Here is a 14,080-nt window from a genome sequence, read left to right as displayed (position 1 = left end):
AATTGATCCACCTGCCATGGCCTCCCAAAGTGCTGGGATTCCAGGCATGAGCCACTGCACCCGGCCTCTTCCATTCTGTTGATGGAACCCAGTGTCCCTGGCCCTGACTCACCTTGCTGTATAGACAGGTTATCTTCAATGAAATATTCTGAGCTTTTTATCTATAAATTAAATGAGTGTAACTCATTTAAAGCAAAAATAGAGTGAACATTCTATGCAGAGTTTGATGTTGATCATTGGTTAAGTGAGAATGTACCTCTTTTCCCACACTTGGCTTCCATATGAAATAGATGGAACTGCCATAGCTTGATTGATGTTCTGTTTTGTCAGAGGATTAAACAGGGACTTTCTCCTTGTGGGGCAGACTGCCCAGCGATACTGGACTCCTTGCCCTGACCACTGGGATCCTGGGGTCAAGATTCTTCACTTCTCTTCCTGGCTGGCTACAGAGCCCTGAATATACTGCTTCTAGGAGACCAGGGAAGATGACAAGGAGGTTTAGTTTTTAGATTGTTTCTACTTGCTTTGGATTTGAATTGAAATTTTTTTCCCTCCCTTGTTTTGCTGAGAAATAGTTTGGTTTCAATGGAAGTAGATTTTCTAGAACCTTGAACCACGATTGTAAATTGGTGGCTCATGGGCCAGATGTAGCTGGCAAATGTGTTTTTTGGCTTCTTTAATGCTTAAATTATTTTCATTAGTAGCCAACATGTAAAAGCCAGAGTATTTCACATAAAAATCCAGATTCAGCCAGGTGCAGTGACTCTCACCTCTGTGATCCCAGCACTTTGAGAGGCTGAGGCAGGAGGATTGCTTGAGCCCAGGATTTTGAGACCAGTCTGGGCAACGTATTGAGAACTCCTCTCTACAAAAAATTAAAAATTAGCTAGGTGTGGTGACACATACCTGTAGTCCCAGCTACTCAGGAGGCTGAGGCAGGAGGATCACTTGAGCCCAGGAGGTTGAGGTTGCAGTGAGCTGTGATCACACCACTGTGCTCCAGTCTGGGCGACAGAGTGAGACCCTGTCTCAAAACAACAAAACATGCTGGGTGCAGTGGCTCATGCCTGTAATCCCAGCACTTTGGGAGGCCAAAGCAGGTGGATCACTTGAGGCCAGGAGTTGGAGACCAGCCTGGCCGACATGGCAAAACCCCGTCTCTTCTAAAAATACAAAAATTAGCCGATTATGGGGGTGCATGCCTGTAATCCCAGCTACTTGAGTGGCTGAGACACGAGAATTGCTTGAACTGGGAGGTGGAGGTTGCAGTGAGCTGAAATCATACCACTGCACTCCAGCCTGGGTGACAGAGCAAGATTCTGTCTCAAAAAACAAAAACAAAAAAACCCAGATTGCAGTTTCCAGCTTGGGCCTACATAGAGGATTTGGCCAAAACTGGAGTGGAATAGTCATAGCTTGCTACTGTCTCCATCAGCATACTTCACGCCTAGCCCTTTAGACACTTGAATTTTCAACTCCAGACCTAGAACATGAACTCTAGTTTTTAAAGCTGGTGAAGTACAATTTGATGAGCTAGTTAGTGGTGGGTTACCTTGCTCTTGGTTGTCAAAGAGTCCTGCTTTCCTAGCTAGGTAGGTAGAAAAATAACCCAAATAGAACCAGGGCCTTCACTATTATCCTTGCTCCTGTTAGAGTTTCATTTCCATGATTATGGAGCCGGAGTGGCTCCTAGATCCTCAGAGAGCTGTGGGCACCTTTCTTTATATCCTGCTTATTAGGATTCACCGCCTCATCCCCTGCACACAGGTGCCACTGCCGGCAGAGGGTGCTGTCTGCTCACTGAGCCTGTTGTCATCTTGGCTCAGCTGAGCGGCAGCTGTTGGGCATGTGCCCTGGGTCTGTGAGAGTTTGGGCATGTCCATTTGGTTCCCATCCCTAGTGCCCACCCCTTAGACCCTGGCCAGGTTATTGTGTCACTGGGGACTCTGTTCAGTAACAGGAAACTGGGGAAAGTTTAATTGTTTTCTCCTCTCCCTTTTTCCCATGCAGCTGAACAAAAGGTTCATCCTCAGTTTTCTCCATGCCCATGGGAAGCTGTTTACCCGGATTGGGTAAGTGTGCAGGATGTTTATTTTATTTTCCTACATTACAAGTCATTTTGGAATTTAATATTGTTAGCAACTGGACTGTGTTTGTAACTGAGGGCACAGGGTGTGAATTCTTAGAGGCCTCCACCTTCTCTTCTCTTCCCTTCATCTTCTGTCCTACTGTGCTCATGAAATTTGGTAAATATTACTCTCTATCTCTCTTGTTTCTTCTTTCTCTACCTTTACTAAAACACTCCTTTAAATACAATCTTGTCCCAGCCCCCACCCCAGTCCCTCTGGGTTTCTCTTTCCTCTGCCTTCCGGCTTAGGTCCCTAGTGAGTGCCTCAGGGCAGTTGTGCTAAATCCCTGGGTGCAGCTGTCAGGGGGTCCTCCTTGGGAAGAATACTGTCCACTACTTTTCCATCAAAAATAAGAGTAACATTTTCTTTCTATATCCTTTTGACCCATATCCTTTCCTCCTATGCTCAGATTCCTTTGCCATATTGCTGATCTCATTAGATACCAAGCCTCTTACGGTTTCATCATCCACCATGGATTTCCATAGACATCTCAGGGAAGGTAGTGTGTGCAAAACTAACACTTGACTGCTTAAATTCCTGGAAACAGATCGAGTTTTGAGTATTCCTTTATTCCTTGGATGGATCCGAGTTCTTCCTCTCTGCATAAAACTAGTGATCCTAAGCCCAACGTAATGCCTACACGCCAGAGCAGATGGATGCCTGGTGCCTCTTTAGTATAGGATCTCCCTGAGTATAGGAGAGTGAAGAAAGTAGTAGGTGGCAGTGCCCCCAGACCAGTCTTCCACTAGACCAGTTTTCTACTGGATTCTAATATTTTCTGAGTTGGAAGTTGTATTGTGAGCTACCCTTTGGGGTGATTTGTTTTGAATTATGAATACCCCAGTTATTGTCAATGTTTCCCTTTCACTTCCCGTCATAACTTCGTAAGTTTATCTGTAATTCTCTAGAAGGCTTTTTTTTGAGACAGAGCCTTGCTCTCTTGCCCAGGCTGGAGTGCAGCGGCATGACTCGACTCTCTGCAACCTCTGCCCTCTGAGTTCAAGTGATTCTTCTGCCTCAGCCCCCCAAGTAGCTGGGATTACAGGCACATGCCACCGCGTCTGGCTAATTTTTGCATTTTTAGCAGAGATGGGGTTTCACCATATTGGCCAGGCTGGTCTTGAACTCCTGACCTCATGTGATCCACCTGCCTCGCCCTCCCAAAGTGCTGGGATTACAGCCGTGAACCACCACGCCCGGCCTAGAAGGCTCTCTTAGTGGAGGTAGGGGCTATGTCAGTTTCCACATACCGTTGTAGTTAACTTTTTTGAGAAGCGGAAAGGCTTGGTTCCACTGGAAGAAACTCTGCTCCACGGGCGGTGGACTAGAAAGTGTGCTTATTACATATTCATTTGGTATCAACCTGGGTAAGAATGATAGTGATGGTCATTGCAAGCATAGTTTGGATTTCAAAATGACTTGGGAAAATTGGACAAGGTACCAGTAGATGAATCTCTATCTGTAGACATAACAGGTGGAGACATTCACTTAGGCAAAGTAAACTAGATGCATCACTGGTCCCATCTCCTGCCTCCCACCTCCCCCGTCCTGCCACTGCCACTGCCACCAGTTTAAGTTCCACTCTGGCAGTTTTTGCCTCACTGTTGTGTTCCTAGAGCCTGGCATGTAGTATTTGTTGTACAAATGAATGAATTATAAAAAGACGGATGGATTGCTAAGCACTGCAGAGAAATATGTAGTATTCTAGTAGGTTACTGTAGACCCAAGACAATCACTAGTGAGTAATGTAAGGCTGTAGTTACAAGGTTGAAGGTGGATAAGATGATATCGGTATCATCTTAAAAATAACACATCCGAGTAGGAAATACCATTGTGCTACACTTAAAGTGACAGTTGATGGTACTCCTGCTTCTTTCTTATTCTTTTTTTTTTTTTTTTTTTTTTTTTTTTAAAGAGATGGAGCCTGTCTGTGTTACCCAGGCTGAAGTGCAGTGGCTATTCACAGGTGTGATCATACCGCACTATAGCCTTGAACTCGTGGCTCAGCCTCCCGTGTCACTGGGACTGCATGCTCACACCACCACAGATGGCTTATTTATCTTTTTTTTTTGAGACGAAGTCTCGCTCTGTCGCCCAGGCTGGAGTGCAGTGGCGCGATCTCCGCTCACTGCAAGCTCCGCCTCCCGGGTTCATGCCATTCTTCTGCCTCAGCCTCCCGAGTAGCTGGGACTACAGGTGCCTGCCACCATGCCCGACTAATTTTTTTTTTTTTTTTTTTTTTTTGTATCTTCAGTAGAGATGGGGTTTTACTACGTTAGCCAGGATGGTCTCGATCTCCTGACCTCGTGGTCCACCCGCCTCAGCCTCCCAAAGTGCTGGGATTACAGGTGTGAGCCACCGCGCCCGGCCTATTTATCTTTTATTCTCGTTTTTTCACCTTTCTCTCCTTTACTACTTTTCACTCAGTGTTTTCTCTCCTTTTTTCCTTTGCCTATGTTTGTTCTTTAAATTTTCCCGTACCATGTTGCCCTAAGTCAGGATTTCCCAACCCTTGGTGCTGTCGACATTTTGAGCCAGATGACTCTGCTGTGAGGGGCTGTCCTGTGCGTTGTAGGATACTTGGCAGCATCCCTGCCTTCTTCCCACTGTGCACCAAATGTGCTGACTCAGAATGTCTCCAGACATTGCCACGTGTTCCCTGGGAGACAAAGTTGCCCCTCACTGAAAACCACTACTCTAGATATTTCTTGCCCTGTTAGAGACTTTTGGGAATAAAAAAGTTATAAATCTTGGTGCAGAATGTAGGAACATTTAGGATATATTTTTATCAGGTTATGCAGTAGCTAAACACCCTGATTTCCCCTCCACTTCTAAAATTCTTATATTTTGACACATATTTTGGAATAAGTTTGGGAAAGGACCACAGTAATGATGAAAAAGCGAGATAATGACCGGGTGCGGTGGCTCACGCCTATAATCCTAGCATTTTGAGAGGCCAAGGTGGGAGAATCGCCTGAGCCCAGGAGTTCAAGACCAGCCTGGGCAACATAGGCAGAAGACCCCATCTCTCTTTTTAATGAGTATAATAGATAATTTTTTTAAAAGCCAGAAAATGAGATCTGAAAGGAAAAATTAATTTTGAAAAACATTAAGGTAAAAAAATACTTATTTAGAGACAGCTGTAGGGTGCCTAACATGTTTAAATATAAAAGGGTCCTAATAGGATAGTCTTGATTTTTATGGGATGACAGTAAGAGAAATTGGCTTCTGTTGTAGCTGGAGAGATTTGGGTTAGGTGTAAGAAAATTTCACAGAAGGGAGGATGTTTGAGAGTTTTCTTTTTTGGAGGCCTTTAAAAATGAATAGATATCTCATTTGTCTGAGGTGGTTTACTGTGTTCCAGGTTATTTTTCAGGATCTCTTTTATTCCTGCATATAACATATTCTGTTGTCAAAAAGGTAAAGCCAGCCCAATTTCACCTTCCTAAGAAATGACTTACGGTAGTTTTCATTGAGGAAAATGTATGTGGATTCTAGGCACTACACTCCCTCTATGGGTATCCTCTTATTCTGTCCTGGAGGTAAAATAAAATTGAGCGCCATATTTATTCTGGAAGGCAGAAACAGAAATAACATTTCTGTTGCAGGGAAAAAGGTATAGAAGTCTGTAAGACTAGGAAAGCAATGAGCCCAAGCCACACACAACATCGTAGACTGTTGCCTAATTACGAAGAAGATGTGAAATGTGGGCGGTGTTGAAAACGAATTAAGAGTGAGGAGATTGTAATGGGGAGCAGCTGAAGGCACATCACTCTCCCGCCTGCCCTTTCGGAAAAGCTCGGACGCTGCGCTTCCAGGCATGGTCTGCTCTGTGCCTGGTGCTCCACACTGCGTCAGCAGAGACTCGAATGCCTACTATGTGCAAGATAAGTCTCTTAACTCCCAGCACTAGCTGACGAGAGGTTCAGAGCTTTAGAGGAAATATTCAGTGCCAAAAAGAGTTTGTTTTTCACCACTTACTAGTTACAAGATCTTGAGAGTAAACAAGTCAGAGCTGCTGCGGGCTTCAACTAACCTGATCAGTGGTTTAAAGATATGGTCTCTGAGGTCCATTCCAGTCCTTATGTTCTGTAGTACTATGATTTGTTTTTTTTTTTCTCATTTCCACCCTGTCACATGGCTTAGTTTTTTGGTTTTGGTCTTTTGCTCCTGGGTTATTCGTATCTTGCTCGTTTTTTAAAAATAAGAGGTTGAGAAAAACTAACCTGGATTGTTTTCTGCAGAGAATGTTGTCTAGCCCAGCTGTGTTCCTCAGCATCTGAGGGCTGAGTCCTGCTCGGTTAGTCACCGTCTGAGTCAGTCCTGGGCCTAGGTCCCGGTGTTGTCTGAAAGATTGGTTTCTTGAAACTGCCATTCAAATGAAACAAGGTGTCTCTAGAGATCACATCACAAGGCAGCCACTTTAGTCAGTGACACACACAGCCCGAAAACGATGGTATCTTCTGAGGTTTTAAAGGATAGGGACAGAGTCATCTCGGATTCGGGAGAAGTACTCAGTCGGGGTGCCATATGGCTCCTGACAGACCCTTTCCTGGTGAGAGGCAGATCACACCTGCACTTGGACTCCACTGAGAGAGGTTAGGAAGCTGGCAGCCTATAGGCTCTGAATTTGTGACAAATAGTATGCTTTTGCTTCCTCTTATTGCCTTGATCACAGTTACCACTTTAGCTTTTACTTGCTTGCCTAGTCATGCTATTTGCATAGCTTCGAAGTCTCTTGGAATTCAAAGACTGATATATTTATTTTGTACTTTTAATTTTTAAAAATATAATGTTTGTGTCTGATTTGCTTTTTAAATTAACAGATGTTCTTAAATACAAAAGTAAGATGTATTCATTATGGGAGAAATCTTTTCTTTCTTTACAGTGCTCTTTGTAAAGTATTTAGAAAACTCAGCAAAGAAGAACAAATAAAAAATTACCCATATTCCTACCACCTAGAGATAACTCCACCGTTAAAATTTGGTAAAATTTTTTCAATTTTTTTCCTACATATCACATACACACTTTTTTTCTATTGCTTTACAACTATTTTCATTTAATATGTTTGGAAGTTTCTCTCACATGATTAAAAAATGTAATACAACTTAAAAAAACTAGTATTCAATTGTGTGCATGTTCCATCTTAATCATCTATTGTTGGGCACTTTAGATTGCTTCCAATTTTTGGCGATTATAAATGACCACTTTTTGTATGTTTTCTCTGTTGCTTCTCTTCCTGCTTTATTGCTGAGACTGCTGTTTCTTCTTGGCTATAATTTTATAATTATTACATAAGTATTATCCAGAAATCCTTATAAAAGTATAACATTAAAACTAAGAGTAAAATTTCTTTTAACTCTGTGCCCTCCAAAAAGATAGTAGTAGACATCAGGGCGTGTATTCTTCCAGACCTTTCACTCATCTACCTACATACTTACGTACGTGTCCATCAGTAATGCGGGGTGAAGCAAAGATTATTTCTCAGAGAGAAAGACATAAAACTACTTACAGGTAGTTTGAGGCCAGAATTAGATAGCATTTTGGTTACAAAACTGGAAACCAGAAACCACCTACTGAGCCCTGAGGAGGGTTCCTCTCTTTATCTGTGCCTCCCGTGGTTACTGCTGAACAAGGCTGGTTTTGCATGAATAGATCCACCTTCTCTCACATCTCACATTTGAAGTTACTCTAACTTATATCCTTCTGCTTTCAGTTTTTTCTTTTGTTTTAATCATGTTGAATTAGTTGGAAGGCAAAGGGAGAATTTTTTTTAAAAAACTTTTTATAAAAAGGAAATGTGGACATTTGACCTGGTGCTCGTTCAAGACTTCAGTCTGACCCAGAGAGTGTTAATGGATCTGTTTCCAATTCCTACTCCAGGGAAGAGGCTTCCTCAGACACAGCTTCGAAGCAAAACTGTCCCACGTGACACTTCTGTCCTGTCGTTCTGTGCTGGCTCTCTACTGCCTTTCAACACGGAGACACATGGCTCTGAAACTTGCCCAGCGTGGCTGCTTTTCAAGCAGAGTGAACGCTGCTATTCTCGTAACGAGAAGTGCTAGCCCCCTCCCCACCTCTGACCAGAAAGAGTGCTGCACAGTGTCAGGGTTTAAAATGAAACCTTTGTTAGAGCCCGTGGGGAAAAACGGATCTAGTCCAGCCCCAAACATGTCACTCTCTGCCATTCCACATCTTCCAAGAGTTTTAACGGCTCTGAAATTTTTTAGAGAAAAAAAAAAGAGTTTTGTTTTGTTTTGGAGGGGTGGGTACTTGAAATGGCATGTGGAGAAAAAAAGCAAATGCATGGCATCTTTTGTGCCAATGAAAATGAGGACAGCTCAGCAGAGGAGGGAACTGGAATGTAAACTGTAATTGACCCATAACTGTGGCACGACTTCTGGGCACCAGGGGGTCAGTAATAAGAGTTGCCATCCAAGTGCAAGGAGTGAAGATTGCCAAGATTCTAGAAAACCTGGAGTTTTCTAATCCAGGGAGGACACTTCCCAGTCGGGAAGGGCCGAGATGGGTGAAGCTAGAAGCACCTTCCTCTAGAACTTGAAACTGCTTTCTATCTTTTGAGAAGGATTACCTTCCTTGTGGCTTTTCAGAAGCTATTTGTTAATCCAACCTGGAGCTGTTTCCCCAACCCCACAAGTATGTCACAAGCAGTTTGTTTATTTGGGGGCTGGGGGACATGGTAAAAAATACTTTGGTGACCACGAATTGTTTGGCATAACCCTAAGGCCCATGTGCCTGGCTACTCTCTCTAGCACCAAGCTTGAACTTGCTTTTTATTTCTGAAGACTTCAGCTGTGGTTTGTTTCTGTTGCCAAAGAAGCTCCAGGCATGCACCACTGTTTGGGATCCAGTGGCCACATTTGGCAAGGAGTGATTTGAATGACCTCTCCTTAGGAGCCCTAGGTCACTGGCTAGATTTCTGCCTCCCTGCGTTACAGCCTCTTCCTGTATTGGGAGTGGCACTTGGCCAGGGCATTCTATTTCCACTGGCCTGAAAACATACAGACCCCGATGAGCAGAGCCTTGTGAGAGGGAGGAGGACGGCAACACACGAAGAACTGAGACAGATGACTGGGGGCTTCTAGGTCTAGGCATTCTTCAAGGGGAAATTTGGGATCGTTAGGCGGAACAGTCAGTGTGATAGTACCTCAGAAGACAATAGCAGAACTATGTCTGGTTACCTAAAGTAAACGCTTGGGTAAAATATCTTTAGGCCGAGTGCAGTGGCTCATGCCTGTAATCCCAGCACTTTGGGAGGCCGAGGCAGGTGGATCACTTGAGGTCAGGAGTTTGACACCAGCCTGGCCAACATGGTGAAATCCCGTCTCTACTAAAAATACAAACATTAGCCGGGCATGGTGGCACATGCCTGTAGTCCCAGCTACTCAGGAGGCTGAGGCAGGAGAATTGCTTGAACCTGGGAGGCAGAGGTTGCAGTGAGCCGAGATTGGGCGAAAAAAGCGAAACTTTGTCTCAAAAAAAAAAAAAAATTTTTTTTTTTTTGTTTAGATTCACATTACTTTTTTAATTGAATTAAGTTTCATACCAGAGAGTTTAGGGACTGTGAAGGTTTCAGGAAATTTGTTGAGTATTTAGAAAAGCCGATGGTTTCAGAGAGAAACTTTGATATTAGCTTGAACACAGTTATTGCCAGGGGTGAGGAAATAGCATACCAAAGCATAATAACTCATAGTGATTTATCCAAAACTTGAGTTGTTTGCATCTCTGGACCCTGAAAACTCCTTTATCTTGAATTTGTTCAAAATTGCAGGATACCGGGAAGGTTTGTGAAAGTAGCAAAGAAATGTCCTAGGCAGTAGTTGTCTGGTGTGTGTGTGTGTGTGTGTGTGTGTGTGTGTGTGTGTGTGTGTGTGTGTGAGACAGAGTGAGAGAGAGACTGAAAGAGAGAGGTGCCTCATTGATGGGTTTTCTGAATCTGCAGGATGGAGACATTCCCTGCAGTGGCTGAGAAGGTCCTCAAGGAGTTCCAGGTGTTACTGCAGCACAGCCCCTCTCCCATTGGAAGTACCCGCATGCTGCAGCTTATGACCATCAATATGTTTGCAGTACACAACTCCCAGCTGAAAGGTAAGGCATGTTTAGTTTCTTCATCTAGAATATAGACAGATAGAGATTAATGTAGCTTCTTTCTTGTGTTACCATACCTACCATACCTACCTCCCCCCACCCCACCCCCGAACACACACACCCTACCCTACGCTTCCTACCATTGTCTCAGATATTTAGTTTACTTTGAAATCTGTATGACTCTCTAGTGCTTGGGTGGGATGGAAGGAGGGAATCATGGGTATAGAGCTTAATTTGCAAATGCAGAGATGCAGTTGCACATCTGGCCACGCGAAAGGCAGCAGCAAGGCCTCTTGAAGGCTGCAGACCCAGAGCCTCTCCCAAGGGAGAGGCATTGCTGAGATGTTTCATTGCAGAGACCATACGCTTGGCAGGGATTGGGAATAGCTGTTTCTGGACTCATGTACCCTGTTTGTTCAATATGGAAAAGTCTAGTTCCCTATGGGATATCCCTAGTGGGAGCCTGCCAGGGAGTAAGAACCGAGAATTGATGAGCTTTGGTGACTCAAATCTGGAAGCACAAAAACCACCAGTCCCAGAATTTAGCTATTATACCAGTGTGCATTCTAAAATGTTTTTCTGAACATTTTGGGGTTTTTTCATAGGGGGTCGGGTGGGTGTGGAAGTAGAGGGGAGAAGGACAGATTGGCAGGGTTTTAAATGTTCTGATGACCAGGTCAGGGTCAAAGGATGTTACCAGGATTCCTTCCCTTCCCTTCCGTTCCCTTCATTTCACTTAGGTAAGGATGATATGGTATGACTTGATGGAATTATGTAGTACAGGGATGACATTATTTTCTGTGTCTGTTCGCAAGGGTAATTTGGTCCATGCTGCCTAGGAGTCATTTCAGAACACTGACAGAGAGTGTTTGGTCTCAGGGCAAGAAATGCCAGGAAGTGGGAATTGGCCCATAGAGACCCTGCTGTAAAACAGATCTGGTGTTTCTTGACAGAGTGGCGCTGGGTCTCTTGTTGCCCCTTTTCATAGCACTTTCTCTCACCATGAAGTTGATTGATTTATCTCCCCGTTTGTACTTAAGGGTTATGCTTCACTTGGTTGTGGTGGGGGAGTGAATATGCCACACTTTGCCTTGAAATGGAAATGCGGATCTTTCTGGGACTAGGCAAGGTCCTCTCAGAGTGTGTCTGGGTTCTCAGTTACTTCTGAATCCTAGAGGATTTCCTCCTCTCATGCTGCCTGCTACAGCGTTTAGAATTCCCAGCAGAAAGTGAGATCCAGGGGCTTAGATGCCTTTTTGAACTTGGCTAATTTTTCCTGAGATGGCTATTTGGGTAAATGGCCCTGAGGAAGCATCGATTCTTAAGTGGCAGCACTGGTTTCCAGGGAGAAGAGAACAAAGTTTGTAAAATGCTGTGCTGGTGAGGCCCAAAGGGGAGGGACAGTCTGCTACCAAGTAGGAAGCCCACCTGACTCTGGAAATGGGCCCTCCTGAGGTGCCCTCCTGTTCATTCCCATCTCCCACTAAAAACAACCCACAGAGTTCAGTGAGCTACCTGTCACAGAGCTGCAGCCTCAGCCAAGACATTGTTCCAGCACCAAATGACCTGTGGCTTCTTTAGGTGTGAATGTAAAGGACCTGCCTTTAAATACCAAAAATTAGCTGTGCTTGGTGGTGGGCACCTGTAATCCCAGCTTCTCAGGAGGCTGAGGCAGGAGAATTGCTTGAACCTGGGAGGTGGAGGTTGCAGTGAGCCGAGATTGCAAACTATACTGCAGCCTGGGCAGCAGAGTGAGACTCCATCTCAAATAATAATAATAATAATTAAGAATTAAAAGCCCTTGCCCATGAAGCATCTGTTTTCAGCAGCTTCTATTCCATGGAAAGGAATACCTTGGCCTTTTAATAGGCCACCAGTGAGTCTTTTTCTTGTAGCTGTTGTTAAGTAAAGGTTAAGAAAATAATGGTAGGCCGGGTGCGGTGGCTCACGCCTGTAATCCCAGCGCTTTGGGAGGCCAAGGCAGGCAGATCACCTGAGGTCAGGAGATTGAGACCAGCCTGGCCAACATGGCGAAACCCTGTCTATACTAAAAATACCAAAAATTAGCTGCGCTTGGTGGTGGGCACCTGTAATCCCAGCTTCACAGGAGGCTGAGGCAGGAGAATTGCTTGAACCTGGGAGGTGGAGGTTGCAGTGAGCCGAGATTGCAAACTATACTGCAGCCTGGGCAGCAGAGTGAGACTCCATCTCAAAAAATAATAATAATAATTAAGAATTAAAAGTAAAAAAAAAAGAAAATACAGGTAAAAGGAAGGTAAGATGGTGAGTACAGAGAAAGAAATCGGTTGTTCCCTGATGTGAGGCCAAGGCACTTTTTCTAGGACTCTTCCATGGTGGGTCATAACGAGTACCCTCTAGCCAGGAGAGACATGGAAAAATAAAGCCCGTACTTGAGACCCTACTTTTCATGACTGGTCTGCTCCTGACTCTCACCTCATTGTCACCTCGATGAGGTCACTGGGGCCAAGAAGAGTATGGGTTGAGGTGTTCAGAGGCTCCAAGGGTGTTTCAAGGAAAAACGGCCCAGGCCACAGGATATAACACTCAGTGAGGACAGAGAGCTCTGTGGACGTGCTGCCAAGTACCCAGTGTGCAGCTGAGGTGGCCATCCAGACCCCGCTGTGTGGGCTGCCATTGGGACAGGGGCGAGCAGAGTGCTCGGCAGGGCTGGCTGGTGGGAAGATGCACTTTTCCATTTCCCAGCACATGAGTCATCATCTTTGGTCCCCTGTGCTGTGCTGTGCTTGCCTGGACAGTGGCAATAAGGGGGTGTTGTGGCTGAGTAGCAGCATCTGTGCCGGGGGTGGAGAAGGAGGGGGGTTGGGGAGAGGGTAAAGATTGAAATCCTTCACTAATCAGCAGCAGTTCGAATCACATTTTTATGAGTAAGGAAGTGATAAATCAGCGCTGTGTGTTCAACCCCCAAGTCCCGTCAGCCAGTGCCCTTCTAAAGGTTTCTCCCCTGGCCAGTCTGCATTCTGTCAGAGTTGCCACCCACCATCAGGGCCCTGGCTGCCTGAAACCAGGAAGCAAGAGCCTGATGCTGCCTTGCCCTCCCAGGTACTGGGGTCTGTGGTGAATTGGCAGTCACTGCAAGCTACAGAACATCTGGGCCATCATTTTTCTTTCCATTCCTTCTTGGACATGTCCTTCTGGGTGGGTGGCTGCATATGTCAGTTTCCGGACTCTGTGGAGAAGGAGCATTCCAGCCGGAAGCAGAAGTGATCTTGTGGCCCACCAGGCCATTGAGATCCTCACAGTCTCTACCTGGGTCTTCCCTGTAGATGTGGTGCCTAAGGAGTGTGATTTGGAGAGCCACAGGGGAGCAGATTCCTTTCTCTAAAAGTGTGTCCTTTGCTGGTGCCTCTAATGCTACCGTGAATCATTTGTTTCTTGTGTGTTCAGTGCCACCCTTGTATAACTATCTTCTTTCTGCAATATCAGTAATCCAGGATGGAAATCATATTGTTGCTAACGTTTTACTGTGATTACTTTTCAAGTGTGTAGAAAAGCTTTGGACACTGCAGAAGGCAAAATGAAAGGAAAAGTTTAGATGGTGGTGAGAGAATGGCATCTTTGCCTTTCCCTAGGTTATGGTTTTCCTAGGAGCCCACTCTGCTCTTGGAGGCAGAGGATGTGAGGCCAGATTTGCCCCCCTTCCTACAGGGCGAAATAAGTTGAGTAATGCCACATTATTTAACCAACTAAACTTTCCAGTTTCAGCAGTGGTCTTAAAACTCACGGGTTCACGGGTGTTGGTGGAGAGACCTTGATCTCCTCTCGGTTGGGCCCTATGCAGAGTCCTACGTCAGTGGATACAG

At 45.0% G+C, this 14,080-nt stretch overlaps 1 protein-coding gene and 1 long non-coding RNA gene across 14 annotated transcripts in view, besides 5 other annotated features; one reads left to right on the top strand and one right to left on the bottom strand.

Moving 5' to 3' along the window:
• SMG6 (SMG6 nonsense mediated mRNA decay factor) overlaps positions 1-14,080 on the top strand; it is a 243,947-nt gene that overhangs the window by 57,056 nt on the left and 172,811 nt on the right. For 10 of the 13 annotated variants that reach the window (XM_011523769.3, XM_047435696.1, XM_005256569.5 and 7 more), the window contains 2 exons: positions 2,011-2,072; positions 10,093-10,238. In XM_011523769.3, the coding sequence (XP_011522071.1) occupies positions 2,011-2,072; positions 10,093-10,238 (208 nt within the window). Of the gene's footprint in view, positions 1-2,010; positions 2,073-5,737; positions 7,113-7,193; positions 9,236-9,882; positions 9,934-10,092; positions 10,239-14,080 lie in introns of those variants that run through there. The other 3 variants (XM_017024398.2, XM_005256571.6, NM_001256828.1) reach the window with 3 other exon arrangements.
• Positions 1,694-1,743: an enhancer, noted in NCBI's record as "active region_11484". NCBI's record gives its function as "activates an Ori minimal core promoter by ATAC-STARR-seq in GM12878 lymphoblastoid cells {active_cell/tissue: GM12878}" and the evidence as "EXISTENCE:reporter gene assay evidence [ECO:0000049][PMID:35858748]".
• Positions 6,024-6,123: an enhancer, noted in NCBI's record as "active region_11483". NCBI's record gives its function as "activates an Ori minimal core promoter by ATAC-STARR-seq in GM12878 lymphoblastoid cells {active_cell/tissue: GM12878}" and the evidence as "EXISTENCE:reporter gene assay evidence [ECO:0000049][PMID:35858748]".
• Positions 6,664-6,793: an enhancer, noted in NCBI's record as "active region_11482". NCBI's record gives its function as "activates an Ori minimal core promoter by ATAC-STARR-seq in GM12878 lymphoblastoid cells {active_cell/tissue: GM12878}" and the evidence as "EXISTENCE:reporter gene assay evidence [ECO:0000049][PMID:35858748]".
• Positions 6,814-6,873: an enhancer, noted in NCBI's record as "active region_11481". NCBI's record gives its function as "activates an Ori minimal core promoter by ATAC-STARR-seq in GM12878 lymphoblastoid cells {active_cell/tissue: GM12878}" and the evidence as "EXISTENCE:reporter gene assay evidence [ECO:0000049][PMID:35858748]".
• Positions 7,845-7,914: an enhancer, noted in NCBI's record as "active region_11480". NCBI's record gives its function as "activates an Ori minimal core promoter by ATAC-STARR-seq in GM12878 lymphoblastoid cells {active_cell/tissue: GM12878}" and the evidence as "EXISTENCE:reporter gene assay evidence [ECO:0000049][PMID:35858748]".
• LOC101927839 (uncharacterized) lies at positions 13,120-14,052 on the bottom strand. The gene is made up of 2 exons (NR_110888.1): positions 14,002-14,052; positions 13,120-13,780 (listed from the first exon to the last, which is right to left on the bottom strand). It is a non-coding gene; the product is annotated as an uncharacterized LOC101927839 (long non-coding RNA).

Source organism: Homo sapiens, chromosome 17 (genome assembly GCF_000001405.40).
Source record: "Homo sapiens chromosome 17, GRCh38.p14 Primary Assembly".
In the NCBI taxonomy this organism is placed as follows: domain Eukaryota; kingdom Metazoa; phylum Chordata; class Mammalia; order Primates; family Hominidae; genus Homo; species Homo sapiens.
Note: the sequence above shows the minus strand (reverse complement) of the source record. Positions and strands in the feature narration are given on the sequence as shown.